Source organism: Homo sapiens, chromosome 11, assembly GCF_000001405.40.
Source record: "Homo sapiens chromosome 11, GRCh38.p14 Primary Assembly".
NCBI classification, from domain to species: Eukaryota; Metazoa; Chordata; class Mammalia; order Primates; family Hominidae; genus Homo; species Homo sapiens.
In genome coordinates, this window is record NC_000011.10 from 7,485,183 (window position 1) to 7,511,826 (window position 26,644).

Consider the following 26,644-nt stretch of genomic DNA (forward strand, 5'->3'; position numbering starts at 1 on the left):
GTACCTTTCTGCCCAAGGGGCGATGTAGCCCTGTGCACTGGCTGTTCAGAGATAGTGGTAGATCCATGTTTATTTTTCCTGGCTGTGCCTTTAAGAGCTGCAGGAATGTGAAGGGAGTCTGGATGAGGGGTGGGGTCTCCCAATAGGACTTCTGGAAAAGGATCCTGGGAATTTTTGCCAGAAACTAAACTGAGAGTCCAACTTTAAAAAGTTGGGGGTGGTTTGTGTTGGGGAAGGCCTGCGATTGGACTGCAGAATCCACTAGGGAGGAGGAAAGCAAAAGTAAAAAGGAAATAGCTGGGGGAAGGGAACGGGGGGAAGCCATCTTCACCCCCCACCCCAATGCACACACAATTAAGCCAGGAAGCAGCTTGCAACCACTAGCCTGGGGAGGGTCCGCATGTGTCAAGGGTGAGGGCAACAGATGCTGGACCCAGGGAGCTCTCTGCCACAGGTCAGTCTACAAGGCCTCAGGGACCAACTTGCCAACAGCTGGACTTGATCACTAGCTGGCAAACTGAGCTCACGTATCGGGTGGAATAACAAGCGGACTTTGCTCTCTGCTGTGCAAAACGCTGTTTTTAGAGGATTTGCCACAGCAGCGGATAGAGCAGGAGAGCACCACCGGAGCCCTTGAGACATCCTTGAGAAGAGCCACAGCATAAGAGACTGCCCTGCTTGGTGTTTTGCAGGATGATGGTGGCCCTTCGAGGAGCTTCTGCATTGCTGGTTCTGTTCCTTGCAGCTTTTCTGCCCCCGCCGCAGTGTACCCAGGACCCAGCCATGGTGCATTACATCTACCAGCGCTTTCGAGTCTTGGAGGTAGGTGGCATCTGTACACCTTGGATAAGTAACAGGCTTCCCAGAAGTACCTTATTTTTACCCATGCTTCTCTATCTACTGGGTTGTATTTTTCCCAGATAGCAAATGACACATTGCCAAAGTTACACTTTAAAATGCTCATAGTCTGGCAGTTTAGAGCCGAACTCCAGAGTCCAGTGTGCTACTTCCAGACCTTAAGCACAGTTGCACTTTGTGCTCTGATTTGGCAGTTTGTCTCATCTGTAAAATGGGGATAATAGTAGAATTTATGTTGTAAGGCTATCCTGAAGATTTAATCCATAGCTAAAATACTGCCTGGCATAATGGTATGTATCTAAAATGTTATTATTCACCATAGTTCATTTTTTAAAATATGAAACTTAAAAATGTTGGTTACTTTTTCTTCATGTTTTAGTGTTTCAGGCTGATAATGGATTTCAGCTTTTCGTTTTGTCTTTTATGATAAACCATTAGGTCACTGTAAAAAGTCATGATATCAATGTACTGAGAAGTCTTAGTTTCTTTTGCTGAACTGGATTTAGACTTAGAAGTGAGCAGATTTCAGCCAAGTTAAACAGAAAGAATGCATTTGGGCTGCCACCTCATTAAAATGTGCAAAACCCAACATTTTGGCAGCCTGGACAGGCTCCCAGGGACAAATGTAACCCTCCACCCTAGCCTTTGCCACACCCTGGCATTGATTATTCATACTTAATGGCTTGCTTTTGTACAAGCTAAATTGATAAATTATTTATCTTCTTTCAAAGACCCTCTTATTGCTAATAATTATTTTATACATTTTCCTGAAAAATCTTCATGTCCAAATTATATGTTCTTCTAGTTATAGTCAGGGTAAAGTAATTCCACATAGCAGGCCGAATGCATTTCCTAAGGGCGTCCAGCCAACAGGCTGGGGCCTGGAGGCAGTGGATGAAGTGTTCCCAGACGAGCGGCCTCTTGCGCTTCTTCACTTGCTCCCTCCTGAGCCTCACCTCCTTAGAAGTGCCAGAATGATGCTCAGTCAGGATCCCTCTGCATTTAGCACCGACTTGCCTTGGGAGTAAAGCCAGCCAAATCCCTGCAAATTGTCTTTCACTACCTTAAGAACTTGTCAAGGGTATGAAGTACAGACTGATCCTTTTATAGCTATGAATGTGGATTTGAAAAAGACAAGGATATGATCTGTATAGATCTTCCCACCCCAGTCCTGACCTGAGGTGAAGCCAAGTCGCAGGTGGCAGTCACTGTTGGCCAGCGCAGACACTTAACAATACAGTGATAGCATTCCCAGCCTGAGAAGCCAGTGTCGGAGGGGTAGGAAAAAAGAGGGTAGGGATTTAGGGAATTATTTTGGGTCTCTCTTTCTGTCTTTCTCCCTTCAAAATAAACAGCCTTACGTATTGTTGTTTGGAGCATACATTTTTACATTTGTGGATAGAATTTTGATAAACCATGCCAAATGAGCTTTAAGTAGACATTCTCTTTGACCAAGCAATCCCATTTCCATTCATTTATTCTTTTGTTCAGCAAATATTTATTGAATAGTATTATGTGCTTGGCCCTGTGCCAAGTGCTAGGGACGGATATTCTGGAAATCTACCTTAAAATAATCTGATGAAGATGTAAATACAAAGGTTTTTTTTTCCCTTAATAATCTGATGAAGATGTAAATAAAAAGTTTTTTTCTCAGCATTGTTTGAATGACAAAAAATTAAAAACTATGTAAATGTACCTCAAAAAGAGTCTAACAGAATAAATAATGGGATATCAATTAAATGGAATGCTCTCATTAAAGTTATGGTATAGGTATACTTTAATTAGTATCAAAGTATGTTCACAATATATCTGCAAGTGAAAAAGATGATACAAAACATATAGTAAAATCACATTTTAAAAATATATATTTACATATGTATGACTAAATGCTTGGGAAAACTTTTAAAAACTGATATACTCAAGTATCAATACTACCTTTGAATTTAGGAATTATGGGAGATTTCAATTTTTCCCCTATTTGATGATGTGTAATTTTCTAATCCTTTTCTATAAATGATAGGTATTTATATTATTTGGGTAATTTAAATAACAAGCAATAATTTGCAAATTTATTTTCTGACTGAAGCAAGGGCTGGAAAAATGTACCCAAGCAACGAGGGCATACATTCAAGAATTCCAAGAGTTCTCAAAAAATATATCTGTCATGCTGGGAAGATGTCAGACCTACACAAGTGAGTACAAGAGTGCAGTGGGTAACTTGGCACTGAGAGTTGAACGTGCCCAACGGGAGATTGACTACATACAATACCTTCGAGAGGCTGACGAGTGCATCGAATCAGAGGACAAGACACTGGCAGAAATGTTGCTCCAAGAAGCTGAAGAAGAGAAAAAGATCCGGACTCTGCTGAATGCAAGTAAGAAAACTGCATCTTTTCCTAGCCCTTCTAGGGACTATTATGCTCAGAAACACACAGACTCAGAGCAGTCAGGGAGCATCATAGAGTAATGAGAGTAAGAATTGGAGGTGTGCTTTTGTGTGCATTGCTGAGAGAGAAAGCTATACAGAGAACAGGTGTCCAAAGAGAAATCCATTCTCGCAAAGCCATTCTTTCTTTCACACACAGTGCCTAAAGCCTCCATAGATGGTGAAGGCTATAGTGCCAAAAGTCAGCCCAAAGAGACTACCTCCTGATAAATCTTGGTTTGGTGGAGATGTGTGGTCCCAGATTTTTTCAGGGAAAGTAGCAGTTTGGTGGATTCTACATCCAGTACCCAGGCTGTAGATAGCATCTGCAAATGTACCAAGAAACAGTCTTAAATTGGAAATGGCAACAGCCAACCCTCAGGGATGGGAACTGCAGTGAATCACTATTGTGTGTGCTGTCTGAGATGGTGATATGCATGGGATGTGGTCTAATCTTGTGATCCATCAGAATCACTTCCAAGCCATTAAGAATAATGTGTAGCAGCTCAAATTATAATAAACAGTATCAGGCAATAAACACACAAATGACAAAGAAAAATTTTCTGTGCCCGAGTCTATTTCATTAAAACAATGAGGGAGACAAATCTCCCACTTCAGGGTTTGTATTCTGAGATGTTTTCATTGCAAATAGGAAGACTTTATTTACATGCTAATTACGTCTGTTCCAATTCAAGAACCTCCATCAGGGAAATGACATATAAGCTGAGTGCCATCATTGTGCTAAAAGTTTCACATACCTTCTCAATGTAATCCTTCTAAGAACTTCATGGTCACTATAAGGAAAAGGGTCTTCCTAAATGAGGTGACACTTGGTCTCAGTTTTGAACAAAGAAGTTAGAAACGAATGAGTAGAGGGTACTTCAAGTCAGGGCACAATATACCAAAGGCATGAGGGTACTGTAGCACCTTGACATGTAGACCCGCAAATATGGCTGAGTGAAAGCTTTTTAGAGAGGTGACAGTAGGGAAACTAGGTTGAAGAGCTCAGCAGGACCCAGTTAATGAGAGACCTTGCATGCTAGATGAAGGAAGTTGAAGCTCACTGGAGAAACTATAGAGAACCATTGAGCAATTTTAAACAAGGGCATGATACGAAGGAAGAGGCTAAGACTAGAGAGAGGAGACCAGTCAGGGAATGCTGCAATGATTTGGGCAACAAGTAATAGTGTTGGCATTAAGTGTCATGGGACAGAGAACAGGTGGATTTGAGAGCCATTGAGAATTGGAATCCACATGGCTTTCTGACTGCTAATTAAAACTAAATGATGAGTGAGAGAGATGAGTCCAGGATGTTTCCCAGGTTTTGGGCTTAGGTCATCGAATGGTTGGTATGAAATATGCTGAGATGGAAAACTCAAAAGGAGTTTGGGAGCACTTATTACTCTATAATTTTTTTCAGACCATTTATAATTTTGAAACCATTTAGTTCATTTATTGGCTCATAGGTTATTTCCTACCTCCCTATCTGTAATGTCAGCTCTATGAGAGCTTGGAACCCCAGTTTCATGTTCAATGCTGTGTCTCCAGTGCCTAGAATGGGGTCTATTCAATAAATAGTTTTCAGTGAGTAATTAAACAATTAAAACAAATAAATGAGTAGATGTAGGGATTGTCAACACAGGCAGAGGGGTTAGTTAGGCTTTGGTGGGGGGGGGGGCGGGGAACCAAAAAACATCTTATCCCTGAGTCAGAAGAAAGAGAGGAGGGTGCCCTGCCTATAATATGAAGCAATGGGTCAAGTAAGCAATCCTTTTTGGCCCTGACATTGTCCTGAGATGAATCATCCTCAAAGAGGGAGAAGCTGGCGGTAAGCACAGAGTGAGGGAAGGAAATGGGTCAAAAGAGGATGAACAGGGGCTTCCTAAAAAGCTGATGGAGAGGACTGGGTGCTAATGTGGCCTGAGCTAGAATGTGTCCGAACTCTCACACTGGGGGTTCAGGCAGGACGCTAAGTCTGAATAGTGGTGCTGAATTGGATCCCTGAGCTGTTTCTGGTCCCTGGATACTCTCAGCCCACCAGGTGTTGAGACTACCCTTTCCCATTCCAGCTAGAGCTCAGTGGAGGTCCTGAGACTGGACTTGCTTTTTCAACCCCCATCCTCTGCCCCTCAGATCTGGTAGTTCTGAAATATCCCCTCTCCTAGCTCTGTGGTATATGAAAACTTATTTCTGAACCTATCAGAGATTGCTACATCCATGTCTGTTGCCTCTGGAGCTCACATTTGATGCTGTGTTGGTTTGTAAATCAGCCAATACTTGTTGCCTCCCACTACTGGATGGGCCCTGTGCTGCACTGCAGGGATGGAGGACTGAGTAGGACATGTCTGCATCCTGCTGTAGCTTCCTTACCACTTCTCTTGCCTCCCACAGTCTGCCTCCTGTCATGCAGACCTTCCACAACACAAAATAGATCATAATTCTCCTCTGTGTAGAATGTATTTTCGTCATTTACCATCAATTATCAACAACAAAAAAATCCATTCAAATCTCCTAGCTTTCTTTTACATAAGAAAGGCCCTTTACAAAGTGATGCAAGTTGATCTCCAGCTCCTTCTCCCATAACTTACCCAAATGCAGTTTAAATATACATATACATATTTTTATGTATGTGTGTATATATGTATTAAAATATATATTATATATAATTAATATATATTTATATATTTTTTCCTAGCAATCCTTTATGACTCAAAAATGCTGTGAATTCTTTGTGAAGACCTATGAGGGTGAGGATAGAGGTGAGGGGGCTGCCAGGCAGATTGGCCTATAATGCTCCTGGAGCAATTCATTCAGTCCTCCCAGGGAGCATCTCACATATCCGACCACACAAGTCTGTATGTATTCAACTCCTCAGTCATTCCACAAACATACTGACATCTTCTTTTCTGCATTCACAGAGCCTAGGTCATGTCCTCCCATGGAGAAGGCCACAGAAATTGTTTACAGAAGAAATAACAATGGCAGAGGCCCCTGCAGAGCTTAGTTTAGGGGAAGACAAACCTAGAAACAATCACAACGGTGTGATTAGTGTCTCCTCGATTTATTATTTTTAGAGGTTCTCTATCTAGGAGTAGACTTTGGAATGTCAATTTATTCCCGTTAGGCACTGTTTTGTATTGTATATATTATGCACACTCCTGCTTTTTTGCCATTTCTGTTAGTAACTATGCCTATATCAGTTCTCATGCTATACAACAAATTACCATAGATTTAGCATCTTAAAACTACACATTTACTACCTCAGAGTTTCTGTGGGTCAGGAGTCCATGCATGGCTTAGCTGGGTCCTCTGCTGGTACTTGTAGGGCTGGGACCCTCAGCTCCTACAGCCTCTCCTTGCCATAGGCACTGCACAACACAGCTATTGCTCCTTCAAGTAGATGGAGAGTGCTTCTCTTTAGGAAGCGCCTAGTCCCTCTTTTCAGGGCTTTTATGTGATTCAGCCAGCCCACCCATAATTTCCTATTGATAACTTCAAAATCAACTGATTTGGAAACTTATCTGTATATGCAAAATTCCTTCACCTTTGTCTTACAATGTAATGCAATCACAGAGTGCTGTCCTGTCATACACTCACAGGTCCTGCCCACACTCAAGGGAAGGGAATTACACTGGGCATGTACACCAGGGGGTAAAAATCCTGGGGATTGTTTAAGAAATCTGCCTATCACAATGCTTTAGTCTGATAGGCTCAGCTGGTGCTACTAATTACCTGCACCCACCTTCTTCCTGGAAGACTCTGATCTTCCTGTCTTCCAACCATGGCCTCTAGAGACTGTGCCAGTTACAGACCTTCCATTAAAATCCTGAAGACTCAAGTTAGCACCTTTCTGTGGGCAAAAACCATGGGATTATGGGCTAGGAAGGCATTGCCAGAGGTCAGATCAGAGGGTTTCATTCATATGTACGCATTGTCTTGGAGAGTTTGTAAACCCCTACAGAATAGATGATGCAACTTCCTTGGAAAATTTAACCTTGTATCTCAGGAGACTTCCAGGAAATTCTAGTACTAATCTTAATGGTTCTCACTTATTTTAGGAATATTATTCAGGCAACTACTAAGGGCCAAGTACTGAGAATAATAAGATAAAATTGTTCTATAACTAAGCCATTCCCTAGAGAGCTGCTCTTGTATCTTCAGCCTTTATTCAGAGATTATCCCCAAATGACGTCCACATGAGGGTTTCAACTCAGGGATGTTTTGCGGGTAGGTACAATCTTAGAATCTTAACTCTGTCTCTCCCACTTTCCCACTCTCCTTCCCTCTCTTCTTCTCTCATTTACACACATACACAATGTAGGATGCAAAGGAGTGAACACTATTTGAATATAATCTAACTTATATTTTAAAATTATTCCAAGTCTTTGGAACTATAACTATTATTAAAATAAAATTTTGCATTGCACTTGATAATTTATGACAAAGAATCATTCCCTCAGACACCAAGATTAAGTGGTGTCTTAATCTTGGTGTCTGATACTCTTTGGAAGATTTATCCAACTGATACTCTTTGGAAGATTCCACAGGCAGCATTCTTGTATGGATACGAGTATTAACTTCTTTTTAACTTGTAAATAGTTTGTAAAGAAAAATTCTCAAGGCAGTCAAAACAAGCCATTATAGCAGATTTTATTTTATTTCCTGTTGTCGTCCAGTTCCTTTTATTGCAAGGGTGCACAAAAAGTTACCTCAAGTAACCTTCACCCTGCCGAATTAAATAACTCATATCTTTTGTTAGATCACGTTTCAAATAAGAAAGTCTGTTGCAGCATATTTGAAGCCTCTGGGATCTGTCCAGGTTTTATAAGTGTGCATGACCCATATTCAAAACCATTAAAAGCAAGACAACTAAACAAAAATCCCCACTATTAACCAAATAAAATGTATCTGTTTGCCAACTCTCAAGGTCCATTAGTTTGTCATGAGTGGAACAAAATATTAAAAGAGGTATAACTAATTTGCAACAGATGTGTTTACCACAAAAGAAGGGATTCAAAGTATAAATGCAGGTGTAAGTACAGGTGTGTGTGTGCACGTGTGTGTACGTGTGCCTGCGTGCACCCAGCTATTTCGGTATTCAGGGGGATGGCAACATTGGAGGCGCATGTAGAGTACAGCTTAACCTGTGCTTTCCCTTGGAAAGGTAATACCCATGGGTCACTGTGCTGGGTTCAGAAAGGCCCACGTACATAGCACTTCTTTTGTTTATCCATCTGAAAGGTCTGTGGGCTATGAGGATACCTTCAGTCCCATCACTACGGATTCTCACAGAGGGTTAACTGTGGCTCCAGGTGCCCTGAACATCCATTCATTCTTGCTATAACTTATTTATTTATTCAACAAATGTCCAACTGAATTCTAGAAATATGTTGGCATTGTGCCAGGCATTAGAGATAGAATGTTGGACAGGGTAACATTCTTGTCCTCAAAAAGCTTATGGCCAAGGGGAGAAGCTGTCCAGACAAATCTGGAATGATGATGGCTCTGATGGAGGGATGCATAGGGTGTCACAAAAGCACAGGGGGCAGGCATTAAGTAGATATGGTCAGGGTTGCCATGTAGATGGGGGGATTATGGAATCTGGAAAGTAGCCCTCAAGCTGAGTTTTAATCATGGAAAAGAGCTAATTAAGTGGAGAATAAAGTAATAGGCATTTCAAGAAAATGAAACAGCATGTGGCAGCACAAAGGCATAATTGGGCTCAGTGTGTTTGTGGAGCAAGTTGTTCAATGGAGCTCAGGTGAAGGAGGAAGTTGTAGAGAGGTGATGAAAGAACCAGACATGAGCTAAGCTCCTTTGTGTTAAACTAGTTCACACTTGCAAGCTGTAGGGAATCAGAATAATGTGAACAATGGCAATTAATATTACTGAATGCGTATTATGTACCACACATAATCCTTAAGCATTTTACCTATCTCACTGGACTATGTCATGCAATACTCACGATAACCCTGTGAGATAGGTACTGTATATTATCTCCCGTTTTATAGATGAGAAAACAAAGACACTGAAAGGATAGGTTATTTGTCCAAGGTCACACAACTAATAGATGGCAGAGCTGCACTTTGACCCAGACAGGCTGGGTCCTGCACACCCTCACCTCTCCCATTGTGCTGTCTGCGGAGCAGTGATAAGCATGGGAGTGTCGGGGCTCAGAGGAGGTGCATTCTGGCCACAGGGTGCAGAGCAGAATGGCAGTAGGGGAGGCTGAGGGGGCACAGAAGAGACAGGCTGAACTCAGTGAAGCCATCTCCAGGACTGCCAGGGAGGCACATGAGGTAGGAGCCTTCTGTTGAGAGTAGGTGCCTGGGCCCAGAAGTTCTAGCTGTTCCTGATCTTATCATGGGTCACAGTATGAAGACCATGTTAGTTTTCTATTTGATGATGATTCCTACTTACAAACAGGCTGGTTTTAGATTCTTAAACTCTGGCCAAGAAGGTCCAATTTTCTTTCCCTACCCTCCTGTTTTTTAGTTCCCTGCCATTTCTTCATTGACTTTCAAACAATAAAACTCCTGTGTTTTCCCCACTTTTTGCTCAGTTAACAGAATAGTCACACACACACTTTCCTGGGCTAGAAATCTTCCCTTTGGCCCTCGTCTGACAGGTCACTATATCCAGTAGATTTTTTCTTGTGAATCTCTCTCAAGTGTACTCTTTCCACCTGCACTGCTCTCTCACCATCTCTAGTCTTGATTCCTATGAAAGCCTCCTCGCTGACCTTCCTGCCTCCCATTTCTCCCTGTTTCAGGGCTTTATCCTATATTGCCACAGAGTAATCTTGCCAGAGTTACCACATCACTGCTTTATCCCCTTCCATGGCAACTGAAACCTGTAGGGTAAAGCAACCCCCCCAAAAATAACATATAAAGAAAGTCCTTTACAACCTGACCCCCGCCAGCCTAGCTCTCTTTGGTTTAAGTATGAAAGTAATACTCACGAATTAAATAAAAACTATGAATATGGTATCCGCTATATGTGTTGTGCTTACTTTTATCATAAAAGTGGATAAGAAGCCAACAATTGAACACAGCAACTTTGAGTATCCCTCAGCATCTCGTGCCGCTGCTGCCTATCCCTATCTGTCTGGTGCTCTGTCCATCTCACCTGCTATTCTGAAAACATAAAATATACCTCATGCATGCCTGAGTCATTTATGCTGTGCCTGGAACAGAGTAGAGAATCAATCTTTTCTGACCTGAAGGAATCGTTTATTTGAAAATGGAGGGAACTATTTGCCAGAGATAGCATTCAGCCCTTAAATCTGATGTCTTGTCTGATGACCACAACAACCAACAAGCTAGGTCGACACTATTACAGCTCCTTTTCAGATGAAGAACCTGTGGCTTAGAGAGTTCCACACAGCCCATCTCTTCTCCTCACATTCCTGTCACATACAGAAGTATGCACCACCCCAGACATGCTAGATTCATCTCTGCCTCTGTGTCTACTCACAGTCTCCACCCTGCCCTGTATCAGTTATCTGTTGCCACAATAATGCTACATAGCAAACCACGCCTAAACTTAGTGGGTTCAAACAACAATCGTTTATCATTTCTCAGGGGTCCATAGGGTGGCTGGGTAGGCTCACTTGTGCACCTGCAGTCAGTGGCACGTTGCCTAGGAACAGCTGGGTGAGGATGACTTCAGCTGGGGTGACTGGGTTGTCCTCTGCATGGCCTCTGCTCCTGCAGGAGGCTAACCTGGCCTGGCCTCATGACGGAGGCAGATGTCTAAGAGAGAAAGCAGAAGTACACAAGGTCCCTAGGAACTTAGCCTGGTCACTTTAACACTTTGGTGTTCCAAGTCTGGCTCTGAAGCTCACCCCTCTACTATGACCTCTAGTTATACCCATATAAGGCTTTTCATCTCAATGCTCATGGAAACAGGCAGCAATCAAGACTGATTTTAAAATATGCAAATGTCTACATGAAAGCAGTGAGTCAGGCATTGGTGTGATTAACAGTTTTGAGGAAGTATCACCAAAGAACCAGTGAGAAGTCTGCTGCAAAGTTCAGGTCCAGGAAGCAGGCCCTAGACCATCACATGTTGAGAAAGGATAAAAAGAACAGGATGAAATGAGATGTACTTCACAGGAAGAATCCATGGGGAAACATCAAAATGACTTTGTGTTTTCTAACTATACACAGGCAAATGGCAGTACCACAGCTAGAAATTGAGAGCATTTCCATCCTTTTCAGTTTGGAATATTACAGGAAAAAAAAAACACTATGCAAAAAACCAGCTCAGTCTTTAAATGAGAAATAAATAAAAATGAGAAGTTCGTAATTATAACCTTGGAATGGTTACAATGTTGTTGCAGTCAGATAATTGGTGGAAAGTGGAAACCGATCAGAAATTCCCCAGAGCAGCCTGGGCAACAAAGCAAGACACCATCTCTATAAAACATAAAAAAAAATTATCTGGGCATGGTGGCATGTGCCTGTAGTCCCAGCTACACTGTAGCTGGAAGGTCTAGGCTGCAGTGAGCCTTGATCATGCCATTGTACTCCAGCCTGGGTGATAGAGAAAGACCCTGTCTCAAAAAAATAAATTCCCCAGAGGATGGCCCATTTTCATGCTTTACGTGAGTGTTGACGAGCCTGGATGCTCTAGGACAGTTCTCAAACTTTCAGGTTCAGAAACCCTTTACAGTCATAAAAATTATTCAGGCCTCCAAATAGGTTTTGTTGAGGTTGGTTATAACTATTGATATTTACCATGTACATAATTAAAATGGAGAAATTGTAATAATATGTACCAGATGATATTCCAGGATAAGACATGCATCTGTGAAAAAAAACAGATAAGACAAAGCCCCTGCTTTTATTTTTCTTTCATTTTTTAGAGCTGACGTTCTTTTGAGGGAGGCCAAACAATAAATATGTTAGCAGATAAATGTATAATATGCAGACAGAATATAATAAGTACTATAGAGGGAAATGAACTAAGGGAAGGGATTATGGAGACCTGGCCTCTTCCAGAAGGAGGCACTGGAAGGAAGTTGTCTATGTTGCCTGTGTTGGACTCCAGCTGTAGGGACCCCATCGTGGAGCCAGGCTGGACTCACACTCATACCTCACACATCTTCCCAGCTTCCACACCCTCCACTGAAGTTCTCAACTTGATGTCTTTGGGCAACATACATCTATGCACGTGAAAAGCCATGTGTCAAGTCTGTTTCTTTTTCATAATTTATTGCTATTATCAATAAAGTTGTTAGGGTTCAGGACAGGGTGCCATGGAATACTCTGAATTTAGTGCTGGAAAGCTAGAAAAACCTATGATACGGATTTAATAAAGGATTATGTGTAATTCACTAAAACCAACATATAAAGCACTTATTGTATGCCGGGCCCTGTTTAAGCCCTAACCCTGGGTTCATAGCCCTTCTGCAATGCCAAATTGCCCCATGGCTCACTGAATTTTATACAGTTCCTGTTTTCCTGCTACCCATCCACTGAAGCACTCAGCAAAATATCACCTGCTAATCTATTTGATTTCTAGGTTGACACAGTATGAATTGGGATAGCAAGTTTGGAAACTGACAAATTCTGCACAATCTGAATCTAATTGGTTTCTGAGTTTGGAGAGTAAGCAGTAAGTTGACTAGTGAGGGCGATATATACTGTGTCCCAGGCACTTAGGATAAATAGAGTCTAAAGTGCTTGCAAGGAAACAAAGTGAATAATCAATTCTAGTTCAGCATAATAACTGCCCTAGAAGGGGTTGCACAGAATGCTTTAGGCAGATGAGAATGACCATCTAACTGCTCTGCAGGAGCAGAGGATTTTGTTTTGAATAATGAGCAGGTGTATCCCGAGTTAGCAAAGGAGAGCTAAGGAAGTCTGAGCAAAGTCTAAAACTTGCGGGAAGCCATGGCAGGTTTGGTGACTAGTGACTAGTGTGATGAGGAAGCGACAAGAGAGGAAGTTGATCAAGCACTCTGCATGCTATGCTGAGATATCGGAAACTTATTCCATGGGCAGTATCATGAAATACCCCTAATTTTTAGAATAAGTCCATGCTGACAATTTTATAATAATAGCATGATATTTTATAACTGACTACAAGTCTGAGAGCCATCATCTTTGTCATCTCAGTGCCTACCGTCCTACCTATCATCTGATTAGTATTGATAAATGTTTATGAACATGAATACAATCCAGATGGTTGAAAAAGTCAAGTTTTATAACACCATTTCAGGAAGCAGTCAAAATACTCAGGGTTTTAAGATAATTCTCTTCTCTTTAATGAATTCATCACTCTTCCCAAGCCAACCTGCTTTTCCTTCTCTGCTGCTATCTCATGTACCCTATCACCCCATTTTTGAGTCTGATTTGGTATCAGCTGGTTCCCTCAATTGAATCAGTTATTAAGACGTGACTTCTCCTTTTCTAGCTGCTTATATCCATCACTATTTGGATAGCTCTCATCTGGATCATACTTACAAACTCATTACCTGGTTTCCCTCTGTCCTTCCCCATCCCCAAGCCATTCTCCACCAGCAGCCAGACCAATGTTTCGGATCCTTAACTCAGATTGAGTGACTCCCATACAAAGGAATAAGTCTCACCAGATTTGGAGAGTGTTGCTATTAAATCAGGGGAAAAGTATTTAAAAGATTCAATTAAGTGATACTTATGTATGAATTTACAAGTTATATGAAAAGATTCAAATAAGTGATACTTGTGTATGAATTTACTGTGAGGCCTTGCGCCAAATTCTATCCTAATTGCTTGTCTGCAATTCTGCCTGAGGGGGAAACCCAGATTCTCATTCTCTGGTTTGCCAGGGAAACCTTGCATGTCATTGCCTCTGTTAAAAAAATTTGCATCTTGGCTGGACCCAAAGGTTTTAAATTTATTTCCCATCCTTCCTCAACCTTTTCTTCCTGCTAATTATCTCTTCTCAAGAGAAGCACAGCAGGGAGTTTTAACTTACCCTTTTACTTGAACACTGTAAATATATTATCCTCAAACTCCAAAAGAAAAGGAATTTATAAAACTTACAGAGTATCAGCCCTGAAAACTATGTAGAGAGCATCCAACCTAAACCTCTTGTTTTACAGCTGGGAAAAACAAGGTTGGGTTGACAAAGGGACTTTTGGGGAGACACATAGAGCCAAAGGCTGAGTTTAGACCACTCACATCTCTGACTCCAAGTGCTGGGTTTCATCTACAAAGGAAGGAATAGGAGAAGCAGAAGGAACATGGGGGGAATTCTGTTTCTTTTTTTCCAGAACTATGTTTCCCTGACCAAAACCATATATCCACTCTTGTGTTATTTCTCCAAGGGTTCTGCATTAGAAAAGAAGAGTAGAGGGAGAAAGAAGCATGTCTGTGTTGGTTTCTGCTGTATTTTATTTTATTGACTGATTTATTGTTTTGTTTTGTTTTGCTTTGTTGTTGTTGTTTGTTTTGAGACAGGGTCTCCCTCTGTTGCCCAGGCTAGAGTATAGCGATGCACTCTCAGCTTACTATAGCCTCAACCTCCCAGGCTCAAGTGATCCTCCCAACCTCAGCCTCCCACGTAGCTGGGACTGCAGGGGATGTGCCACCAAGCCCAACTAATTTTTGTATTTTTTGTGGAGACGAGGTCTCACTATGTTGCGCACATTGGTCTTGAACTCCTGGGCTCAAGGGATCCTCCCACCTCAGCCTTCCAAAGTGCTGGGATTACAGGCATGAGCCGCTGTGCCCAGCCATTTCTGCTGTATTTTAAATGAACATTTTCTTACGGATGAGACATTAATATGCCTTGCTCTTAGACATAGTCCCTCTGTAGCTGGGCTGCAAGCCTGCTGGCTTTTCTTCAGGCAAGAAGGATGGGCAGGCTGGGGGCTTCCTAGTCAAGTCCCATAGTCTGTGACTAGGTCCCAGAGAGCCCATTGCCCTCATCCACCCTTCTGCACACCCAGATCCTCTTCATTCTTTCCCGCCACACACATACATACACGTCACCATGCCCTTGGGGCTGGCTGGAGGGGTCCTGACTGGCTGCCTCCCAGCTCAGACTGAGCTCAGAGGACCCCATCCCCACGCTTTATGGCTGTGTGACCTTTCCAAGTAACTTATACAAGCCTTAATGTTTCCTCATTTGGAAAATGGGGATTAAAATATCTACCACTTAAACTTATTATGAGTTCTACATTTTAGAAATATATTAAAATATCATAGTATCCCCCACCAATATATATAATTATTTATCAATTAAAAATAAAATGTTTAAGAAGGTTTTTTTTTTTTTAAAAAGAATTATACGGGGCTGGGCATGGTAGCTCACGCCTGTAATAACAGCACTTTGGGAGGCCAAGGCCAGGAGGATTGGTTGAGGCCAGGAGTTTGAGACCAGCCTGGTGAATGGAGCAAGACTCTGTCTCTAAAATAATAAAATAAAAAATTTTAAAAAAACTTAAAAAAAGAATTATATGAGTTAATGTAAAGTGCCTAGCCCAGTATGAAGCATACTATATGTCAGATGTATCTGTCAGATATTTATTAACTTCTCTAGCCCTTGTGCTTGTTCCTTAATAGAAATAGCTTCTGGCCTTTTCTCACAGCCAATGGACCTTCCCTCTTACCCCATAAAAGTCCTCTATGGTCACTCACAGGCTTAAACCCTTACTCGTCCTCTATGATCAGCATAGAACCAGGGAAGAGCAGAGGCTTCACAAGAGACAGGTTAGGCTTGGGAAACTGAAGAAAGGTCTCTCGGGCTCAGGTGGAGGGGTGGCCCTGGCAAACAGGGCAGATCATTCCCCATCCTACACTGCAGCCTATGGCCCCCAGTAGCTCAGTATGGCAGGGGGTCCTTCTGTTAGCGGCTCCTGCAATGCATAAGGTTCCCTGTTGTCCCAGACTTCTCCACATTCCCCAGGGCTTTCGCTTCCTATAACCGAGGCTGACCCAGAACAATGTTGACCCAGAGGCCACAGGAAAGCAACCCCTCAGGCTGATGAAGCATGTCAGCAGGGGAGCATGGGGGCAGCTGATGGCTGAGAGACTTCTACAGCTTGCCTCCAAGTCTGGCTCTGGCCACAGTGTGAGACAGGTAAGGCCACTGTGTCCCTGGGAGCAGCCAGTGATGTCATGACCACTGAAAGGACTGACTTGCTGAGACTCAGCTCTTCCCAGCTAGGGTTGCTCCCACCCCCACTTCTGCCATGTGTTCCCTTCATGAAAACCTTGGGTCAGATTTTTTAATGGAATAATGGGTTTGAAAGTATCTTAAAAGCTTTAAAGTACTTTACAAGTTATTATTTACTTAAGATAGGCCTGCAGTCAGAACTCTGGAAGTGCAGTAATATTTAGACTTTAGAAAAATATCTGCTTAAATGAGACTATTTTTTTAATTCATTCAACAGATATTTATGAACCCCCAACTCACTGAGTTAGGCATTGGGACACAACACTATCCATGAAGTTGAAGGAGTAGAGACTAGAAGCCTAGGAGCGGGAGAGAAGGACGATGAGCTAGTAAATAAAACAGATGAAATAATTAAGAATATGATAAGTGATCTCAAGGAAATAAGAAAAGGGCTAGAGTAGATAATTTTCGGGTGGACATATTTACATAGTGTGGTCACAGGAAGCCTCTTCAAGACATAATATTGAAAGTGAGACTTGAAGGCTAAATAGGAGCTAACTGTGGGAAGATCAAGAAAAAGAGCACTCCAGGCAGAAAATTACAAGTGCAAGAGCCCCGAGGCAGAAACACACTTGACATCCTGGCAGGATCTGAAGACAACCAATGTAATCACAACACAGTGAGGAAGGGGAGAAAGGTAGCAGGGAAAGTCACAGAGAAAGGCAGGGGCCACATTATGTAGATTCCTTAGGCCAAGGGTTTAGGATTTTATTTTAAATATGATAGAAAGGGTTTAGCCAGGCTAGTCACATAATTTATGTTTTCAAACAGATCACTCATACCGCTTTATGGAGAACATACTAACTATAGGTAAGTAAGAAAAAATCAGGGAGACAAAGTAGAGACTATTGCAGTGGTCTGGGCAAAAAGTGATGATGAATGGATTCCAGGGAAAAAAGAGGTAGTAGGTTGAAAGTGAGATGTATATTTGAGCATTTTCATGTAACATTATAATTTTTCTTTTTCTTTTTTTTGCTTTTTTTTTTTCTGGGACAGAGTCTCGCTCTGTATCCAGGATGGAGTGCAGTGGCGCGATCTCGGCTTACTGCAACCTCTGCCTCCCAGATTCAAGCAATTCTCCTGCCTTAGCCTCCCAAGTAGCTGCGATTACAGGAATGCACCACCATGCCTGGCTAATTTTTGTATTTTAAGTAGAGATGGGGTTTCACCATGTTGGCCAGGCTGGTCTTGAACCCCTGACCTTAGGTGATCTGCCCACCTTGGCCTCCCAAAGTGCTAGGATTATAGGCGTGAGCCACTGCTCCTGGCCTTATGTAACATTATAATTTAAAGAGAAGTTATACTATCAGGATTTGCTGGTGTTGGAGAATAGAAAGAAAGAAGGATTTCTAAGTAAGAAACTTGGTTTATGGATCTTGCCTGAAATGGGAAAAGTAGGCAGAAAGAGAGTTTGGAGGGTAAAAGTAAGAGTTCTGCTTTGGACAGGTTAAGTTTGAAGACATCCAAGTAGGGACATTGAGTAAGCAGGTAGATAAATGGGTTTGGGACTAAGTAGATATCCAGATAGGGGCTGAAGATACAAAGTTGGTAGTCATCATTATTTAGAACTTCCATGGTCTCAGAGATAGAATGGGATGATTCAGAAAGTGATTGTAGACAAAGAAAAGAGGAGGCCTGAGGATAAGAGTATTTAAAAGAGGGAGATGAGGAGAAACTGGCAATGGACACCAAGAAAAAACAATCCAGAAAGATGGGAGGACAAACGTGAGGGGGATATCCCAGAATCAAGAAGAGAAAGAGTTTTGAGGGAAAGTACTGATCAAATAATCAAATTTGGCTGTAAAGTTGATAAGGATGAATCCTGAGAATTGACCCTTGGATTTGCCAACATGGAGGCTGCCGGTGACCTTGACAGAAACTGATTCAGAAAAATGGGCAGTGGAGTTTAGACCAGTGGAGAACTGAAGTCTGATTAGAATGGCTTAGAGGATCACTGGAAGTGAGGAAATGCCTCTTTCAAGGAGTTTTAATATAAAGTGGAAGAGAGAAATGGGGCCCTGCTAGTAGGTTTTTCCAGGATGGATGATTTACTGAATGATCCAATAGGGAGGAAGAGACTACTGAGGTAGGAAAGGGAAGATAATTTCAGGTGATAAGTTCTTGAGTAGGTGAAAGGGGAAGAGGTCCACTGCAAAAGTAAAGGACACGGGAAGGATGGCAGAGAATGTAGGGTTGGGAGCAGTTTGTTGATGGATTTGGTTGTTGAAAATTCATTATTCATTCAGAAAATATGGAACTACTATGTGCCAGATGCTATTCTAGGAACAAGGCATACAGTAGTGAATGAAACAGATAAGACAAAGCTTATACCCTCATGGAGTTTATATTTTATTGAGGGGAATTAAGCAATAATATGCTAATAACAAATGTATGTCAGACAAAAGATAATAAGCACTATGGAGAAAAATGATCTAGGGTAAAGGAGTCCCTGGAGAGCTGGAGAAGAGGGTTGCCTTTTTTATAGGGTGACGGGAAAAGGTCTAAATGACCAAGGACCATTTGAGAACAGGCATAAAGGCAGCAAGGGAGGAAGTCATGTAGATATTTGTTTCCAAGCAGAGGGAACGAAAAGTGCCAAGTCCCCAAGGCAGGAGTGTGTTTGGTACAATCTGAGAAATAGCAGAAGTCAGTGTGATAGAACAAAACGAACAAGGTGGAGAAGTTGTAGGGGACAAGGAGAGGGAGAACAAAGAGAGAAGCAGTAGGAGAACAGCTTATATGTGGCTTTGGAGGTAAAGGCCTGAGCTTTATCCATTTCACTCTGAGTGAAATGAGAAGCCAATGGAGGGTTTCAAGCAGACACAGGACATGATGTGACTTACATTTTAAAAGCACGCCTTTGGCTGCTGTGGGAATTGGACTATGGGAGGCAAGTATGGAGGCATGAACACCATGTAGGAGACTGCTACAGTAGTCCAGGCAGGAGATGATGTAGTTCTCCTAGGATTGCTTCTACTTTCTCACGGAGTAAGTGGGAAGATCTCCATGCGAGGGTATGACAGAGGCTTGCAGGGAGATGAGAAAGTGTGATAGTCATATGGAAAGCATGATAGGACTGCTGCCCACACAGCTGGCATATAGCAAACAGTTTGCTAACATGCTTGCTTACCTCCGAACCTCTGGAACCCATCTCACTATGCATCTCTCTTCCTCCTGTCCAGTCTTCTTTCCTTCATCCTGTTTCTTGTCCTCTGACTCCAGTTGACCTTCAGTGGGCTTTAAGAACCCAAGCACTGATTAGGAAAATGACAACCTGCTGCTGACACATCCAGCATTTTTTTTTTTTTTTTAGACAGGGTCTGGCTCTCTCACTCAGGCTGGAAAGCAGTGGCACAATCTGAGCTCACTGCAATCTCCACCTCCTGAGTGCATGTGACCCTCCTACCTCAGCCTCCTGAGTAGCTGGGACTACAGGTACACGCCCCCACACCTAGCTAATTATTGTATTTTTTTTTTTTTTAGAGATGGGGTCTCACTCTGTTGCCCAGGCTGGTCTTGAACTCCTGAGATCAAGTGATTTGTCTGCCTTGGCCTTCCACAGTGCTGGGCTTACAGGTGTGAGCCACGGTGCCTGGTCCACATCCAGCTTCTTATACCAAACCCTTTCAAAGGATTTGAAGGAGCTCCTCAGAGTGCTCAGTTGTCCTTTAAAGACTCTATCTAACTATCATTCCACTACCTCACACCCAGAAGTCAATGAGGGAGGCCCAGCATTCCTATGCTCTTATTAAGACTACTCTTTCCTACCCATAATAGAAACCTCAGCAGGATTTGAGGTAGACCTGCAAGTTTCCTCATGCTCCTAGCAAGACCACCACTCCCTGCTTCCATGACACTACTCATCTCACAACGGATGGCCTGACAAGGCAGTCCCAACAAGAAGTCCACAACTGGATTGGAGTGGTGTCTCATGCCTATAATCCTAGCACTTTGGGAGGCCAAGGCAGTAGGACCACTTGAGTCCTAGAGTTTGAGACTAGCCTGGGCAACATAGTAGACCTCATCATTGCAAAAAATAAACAAAATTAGCTGGACCTGGTGGTATGCATCTTTAGTACCAGCTACTCAGGAGGAGAAGGTGGGGGGATTGCTTGAGCTCGGGAAGTTGAGGCTACAGTGAGCCACGATCATGCCACTGCACTCTAGCCTGTCTAATAGAGTAAAAACCTGTCTCACCTGTCTTAAAAAAAATGTCCAAAATTAGAACTGATGACCGACTTATCTTGAAATGACCAGTAGAGCTGATCTTATCCTGATTCATATCAATCTTCAAGGAGGAAGAACTGACCATGCTCCAGAAAGATCAAGTAAAATATGGACACAAAAGGTCTATTTGAGTTTTCAGTTATAAGGTTCCTGGTAACATTATAAAGAATAATTTCTATGGAGTTATGGTGAAGTAAAAGAATGGGAGGTGAAGATGTAGATACAGAGTATAGCCTACTCTGTAGGAGAAGCTGGCTATAAAATGATGGAAAGAGAAATGAAGCAACTAGAAAAAGGTGCCTAGTTGAAGGTGAATTGTTGTTGTTGTTTTAATATAGGCTAGATGCTTATAAGCTAAGAATCTAGTAACAAAGGAGAAATTAAAGATAACAGAAAAGGGATAATTCATCAAGGAAGTCTAGAAGAAGCCAGGAAAGGATGAGATCACAGTACAAGTGAATATATTAGTCTTGGACAGGAGAAATGACACAGTTTCTTCTAAGATGTGTGTGAGGGTAGCGACAGGGGAACAACTAAAGAAAAGTTTATAAGTGAGGAGAGGAAGTGAAAAGAGTTCATGTCTAATGGTATTTGTTTTTTCAAAGGAGTTAATCTGCTGTTGGTGAAGGGACTGGCCAGGGCGGGGTGTGTGGGGCAGTGTGGGGAAGATATAAGATAGCTATTGTGTGAAGATGGTGGGCTAACCATGAAGACCAGTATGGTATTTAGGGCTCAGCTGACATCGGAGACCCCTTATGTGTAGTGGCACCAACATACACCACTGTGAGATTTTCTCCTCCATCAACACTCAACTCCGGGACAAGGCAGATGTTTGAACTCATCCTAGGCCAGGGACTTGTGTTGGGTGGATATGGTGGCATAACTAGGGGTTGATGGGTGAGAATGCTGGTGAGAGAGCTATTACAGTGGTTTAGGCTGCATAGGAAAGAAAGCAAGATGAAGAGAGGGCTGATGACCTGGGAGAAAGTAGAGGCCAAGGGACTGGAAGGCATGAGCAAAGGAGTGAGCAATGGAAGAATAACTGTGGTGAGTGGGATATTGGAGTTTTCGATTTCAGATACGGAATAGTTGTGGGGAATGGGAGATTCAGAGTATAACCCCTGGAGGAGGATACTAATATGGTTTAAAAGTAAGTTTCCATGGAATTGAAGAGGTGGGCATGCTCCATGCATATAGGGTAGTGTCCTGGAGAATTGCCAATGATTTAGACTGGGAGGAGTTGACAGCACGAGACACAAAGCATGAATACTAAAAAGGAAGAGTTTTTGCTGTAGGTGGGAAGAATAGTAGCCTGAAGTGGCACTAAGGAGCTAGAAAACTGTAACTCCTTCGTTTTACTTCATTTTTCTCCTTTCTTCCAGTTTAGATCCTTTATCATCCCATTTGGATTAAAGAAATATTCTACTAATTGATTTCCCTGATTTTGGTCTCACTCTAAGTGTCCATCATACACAGGACTTCTAGCTTGACCTTGTAGAACAGTCTTGACAGCCTTTACTTCACTCCTGCTCGCAAACTTCAGTATCTCTCTGTGGAATAAAATCCAAATTTCTTAGCCTGGCCCTTAAGGTTCCAGGCATAGAGATGGCTTCAATCTACTACAATTGACCCTTGGATAATACAGTTGCTAAGGTTGCTGACCCTTGTGCGTTGAAAATTTATGTGTAACTTTTTTTTTTTTTTTGAGATGGAGTCTCGTTCTGTTGCCAGGCTGGAGTGCAGTGGCATGATCTTGGCTCACTGCAATGTCCGCCTCCTGGGTTCAAGTGATTCTCCTGCCTCAGCTTGCCGGGTAGCTGGGACTACCGGCATGTGCTACCACACCCAGCTAATTTTTGTATTTTTAGCAGAGACAGGGTTTCACCATGTTGGCTAGGATGGTCTCGATCTCCTGACCTTGTGATACACCTGCCTTGGCCACCCAAAGTGCTGGGATTACAGGTGTGAGCCACCACGCCCAGCCTATGTGTAACTTTTAACTCCTCCAAAACTTAATTACTGATAGTCTGCTGTTGACCAGAAGACTGACTGATAACTTAAACATCAATTAACACATATTGTGAATGTTATCTGGTCCTTTCTTATTTACAAATCCAGACAAAGAGAAAGCTGCCTCTGAAGTAATGCATTACAGCTGGAAGAAAGAGCCCTGTGGCTTTGTTCTTAAAATAAAGTAAGCTAGGAAAAGAAAATGTCATTAAGAAAATCATAAGGAAAAGAAAATAGATATACGGTTCATTAAGTGGAAGTGGATCATCATAAAGGTCTTCATCCGCATCATCCTCTTCACAATGAGTAGGCTGAGAAGGAGGAAAAGAAGGGGTTGGCCTTGCTATCTCAGGGGTGGCAGAGGCAGAAGAGAATCCACATTTTAATAAGACCGGCACAGTTAAAGCTCATGTTCAAAGGTCAACTGTACTTTGCTTTATATATCTAGTTTGAAGCAATATCAAACATTAGCTTGTATTGGTCTAAACTCTACACTTCTTTACCTAATCTTAGAGTACTTTCCTGAAAGTGGTTTTGTTTGCTGTCTGGAATGCTTCTCCACTCCTCTGAATATTCAACTCCATTTATCCTTCAAGGACCAAATCAAATACAGATTCTTCCCTGCATCAAAGGACATTTCCTTTCCCTATTCTTCTTAAAATTCCACTTTACTCCCTATATTCTAGTTAGTCCTGTACCTAATAAGAAAGAACCATGCCCAATTTATGCTCATAACCCCAGCTCATAATACTTCGCTCATTATCTTGCTCCTTGTAGGTATCCAGTGTCTGCTAACTAAATGCATTCATACATTCATGAATAAATAAATAGAGCTCTTATAACGTTGCAGTCGTGTTAAGGGTCAGAATCCTTCACTAGAAGATAATCTCGAGGTTTAGGGTTGATATTATATTTTTTATCCTCAATACTTAGCACCATTCTGGAAACATTGTAACCTAAGTACACAGTACAATAAAATCTTGGTAAATGGAATTGAATTAGTGTCTTCACACCTAAGTCATTCTCACTGTGTCAATCCCAAGTGCTCTAGAGAGTGAACACGGTCTCTGAAACAGCAAATAGCTGTTAATATCCTGAAGTGAGTAAAATGCTGCCTCTTAGAACTGGATAGCAAGTCTCTTAACAGAGACTATTTATTTATTCTTTCATTCGTTGAGTCATACCATGAATTGCAATTGATCTATATCCAATAACTATTATAGACACTAAGGAGAAAACAATCTGTGAAAATAAGGAGGTGAAAGAATGGGCTTGGCTTCTTGCTGGGATTTAAATGCCCTTTTTCTTAAGGAAACAAAATGCATGCCTATGTTGCATTTTCGCTCTAGGATTTTCCAAGGGAAACCCTTCTTCTAAGGACGGTCATGTCACAGTAGAACTGAAAATATTCCCCATCAGTATTAGACCTGAAAGGAAACAAGATTTACCAAGCATGGGGAGCCTTCCAGAAAGCAGACAGCTCATGTTTATAAAGTAATCTCTCCTTTTTCTCCTGTTTGGCCAGGCTGTGACAACATGCTGATGGGCATAAAGTCTTTGAAAATAGTGAAGAAGATGATGGACACACATGGCTCTTGGATGAAAGATGCTGTCTATAACTCTCCAAAGGTGTACTTATTAATTGGATCCAGAAACAACACTGTTTGGGAATTTGCAAACATACGGGCATTCATGGAGGATAACACCAAGCCAGCTCCCCGGAAGCAAATCCTAACACTTTCCTGGCAGGGAACAGGCCAAGTGATCTACAAAGGTTTTCTATTTTTTCATAACCAAGCAACTTCTAATGAGATAATCAAATATAACCTGCAGAAGAGGACTGTGGAAGATCGAATGCTGCTCCCAGGAGGGGTAGGCCGAGCATTGGTTTACCAGCACTCCCCCTCAACTTACATTGACCTGGCTGTGGATGAGCATGGGCTCTGGGCCATCCACTCTGGGCCAGGCACCCATAGCCATTTGGTTCTCACAAAGATTGAGCCGGGCACACTGGGAGTGGAGCATTCATGGGATACCCCATGCAGAAGCCAGGATGCTGAAGCCTCATTCCTCTTGTGTGGGGTTCTCTATGTGGTCTACAGTACTGGGGGCCAGGGCCCTCATCGCATCACCTGCATCTATGATCCACTGGGCACTATCAGTGAGGAGGACTTGCCCAACTTGTTCTTCCCCAAGAGACCAAGAAGTCACTCCATGATCCATTACAACCCCAGAGATAAGCAGCTCTATGCCTGGAATGAAGGAAACCAGATCATTTACAAACTCCAGACAAAGAGAAAGCTGCCTCTGAAGTAATGCATTACAGCTGTGAGAAAGAGCACTGTGGCTTTGGCAGCTGTTCTACAGGACAGTGAGGCTATAGCCCCTTCACAATATAGTATCCCTCTAATCACACACAGGAAGAGTGTGTAGAAGTGGAAATACGTATGCCTCCTTTCCCAAATGTCACTGCCTTAGGTATCTTCCAAGAGCTTAGATGAGAGCATATCATCAGGAAAGTTTCAACAATGTCCATTACTCCCCCAAACCTCCTGGCTCTCAAGGATGACCACATTCTGATACAGCCTACTTCAAGCCTTTTGTTTTACTGCTCCCCAGCATTTACTGTAACTCTGCCATCTTCCCTCCCACAATTAGAGTTGTATGCCAGCCCCTAATATTCACCACTGGCTTTTCTCTCCCCTGGCCTTTGCTGAAGCTCTTCCCTCTTTTTCAAATGTCTATTGATATTCTCCCATTTTCACTGCCCAACTAAAATACTATTAATATTTCTTTCTTTTCTTTTCTTTTTTTTGAGACAAGGTCTCACTATGTTGCCCAGGCTGGTCTCAAACTCCAGAGCTCAAGAGATCCTCCTGCCTCAGCCTCCTAAGTACCTGGGATTACAGGCATGTGCCACCACACCTGGCTTAAAATACTATTTCTTATTGAGGTTTAACCTCTATTTCCCCTAGCCCTGTCCTTCCACTAAGCTTGGTAGATGTAATAATAAAGTGAAAATATTAACATTTGAATATCGCTTTCCAGGTGTGGAGTGTTTGCACATCATTTAATTCTCGTTTCACCTTTGTGAAACATGCACAAGTCTTTACAGCTGTCATTCTAGAGTTTAGGTGAGTAACACAATTACAAAGTGAAAGATACAGCTAGAAAATACTACAAATCCCATAGTTTTTCCATTGCCCAAGGAAGCATCAAATACGTATGTTTGTTCACCTACTCTTATAGTCAATGCGTTCATCGTTTCAGCCTAAAAATAATAGTCTGTCCCTTTAGCCAGTTTTCATGTCTGCACAAGACCTTTCAATAGGCCTTTCAAATGATAATTCCTCCAGAAAACCAGTCTAAGGGTGAGGACCCCAACTCTAGCCTCCTCTTGTCTTGCTGTCCTCTGTTTCTCTCTTTCTGCTTTAAATTCAATAAAAGTGACACTGAGCAAATAACCTCATCAGGTTATATTTGCCCACATACCCTAAGCACAAAAGCTTTCTGGGAGTGCTGCTTGTGTTAGGTTTACTGTGAATGATTCCCAACACACTGAGGCCCTGGTAAATATTCTGGAATCTGGACAGAAGCCATACAGCAGGCAAGCGACTCTGCCACAGCAGGCATGCCCTGTGGCACCGAGGGCAGCATGCCTCTTGACAGGGGCTTCCTCAGTGTTTCCCACGTGTTTGTCCAATTCAGCTAAGTTCGAGTCACAAGTGCAGGCTGTGGTGCCAGTCTGTGTCACGTGCTGAAGCCTCTGTCTTTCCAGGTTGGTCACATGAGAAGGTTTGCTTTGTGTGCTTGCAGCTGTTTTCCTGTCTTTGCCAAGCCCAGGCTGGGACCATAGGCAGTGAAGAGAAAATGTTTTTTTCCATAGCATTTGAGTAGATATTTGGCAGAAGGGAATTACTCAACCCATGGATACAGTGTAATTACCCACAGTTC

General features: G+C 42.4%; 2 protein-coding genes across 6 annotated transcripts in view, besides 2 other annotated features; one reads left to right on the plus strand and one right to left on the minus strand.

The window, feature by feature from the left end:
* Positions 1-505: an enhancer, noted in NCBI's record as "H3K27ac-H3K4me1 hESC enhancer chr11:7506414-7506918 (GRCh37/hg19 assembly coordinates)". NCBI's record gives its function as "activates a minimal SCP1, AML or CMV promoter by ChIP-STARR-seq in naive H9 embryonic stem cells {active_cell/tissue: H9 hESC(naive)}" and the evidence as "EXISTENCE:reporter gene assay evidence [ECO:0000049][PMID:30033119]".
* Positions 324-26,195, plus strand: OLFML1 (olfactomedin like 1). 5 transcript variants are annotated; one of them, NM_001370498.1, is made up of 4 exons: positions 324-454; positions 693-822; positions 2,945-3,233; positions 24,216-26,195. In NM_001370498.1, exons 2-4 carry the CDS (start codon positions 694-696, stop codon positions 25,004-25,006), a joined length of 1,209 nt encoding a protein of 402 aa, NP_001357427.1. In that variant the 5' UTR covers positions 324-454; position 693; the 3' UTR covers positions 25,007-26,195. The 5 variants fall into 5 exon arrangements, with proteins under 5 accessions (NP_001357427.1, NP_940876.2, NP_001357429.1 ...); NM_198474.4 differs by having other exon boundaries at positions 324-822; NM_001370500.1 differs by lacking the exon at positions 24,216-26,195 and having other exon boundaries at positions 2,945-3,842.
* Positions 11,294-11,393: an enhancer, noted in NCBI's record as "active region_4364". NCBI's record gives its function as "activates an Ori minimal core promoter by ATAC-STARR-seq in GM12878 lymphoblastoid cells {active_cell/tissue: GM12878}" and the evidence as "EXISTENCE:reporter gene assay evidence [ECO:0000049][PMID:35858748]".
* Positions 22,837-26,644, minus strand: part of LOC124902806 (leucine-rich repeat extensin-like protein 5) — a 30,521-nt gene continuing 26,713 nt past the window's right edge. Inside the window, exon 4 of the mRNA XM_047428005.1 lies at positions 22,837-23,001. The gene's annotated coding sequence lies outside the window, so the exon portion shown is untranslated. The remainder of the gene's footprint in view (positions 23,002-26,644) is intronic.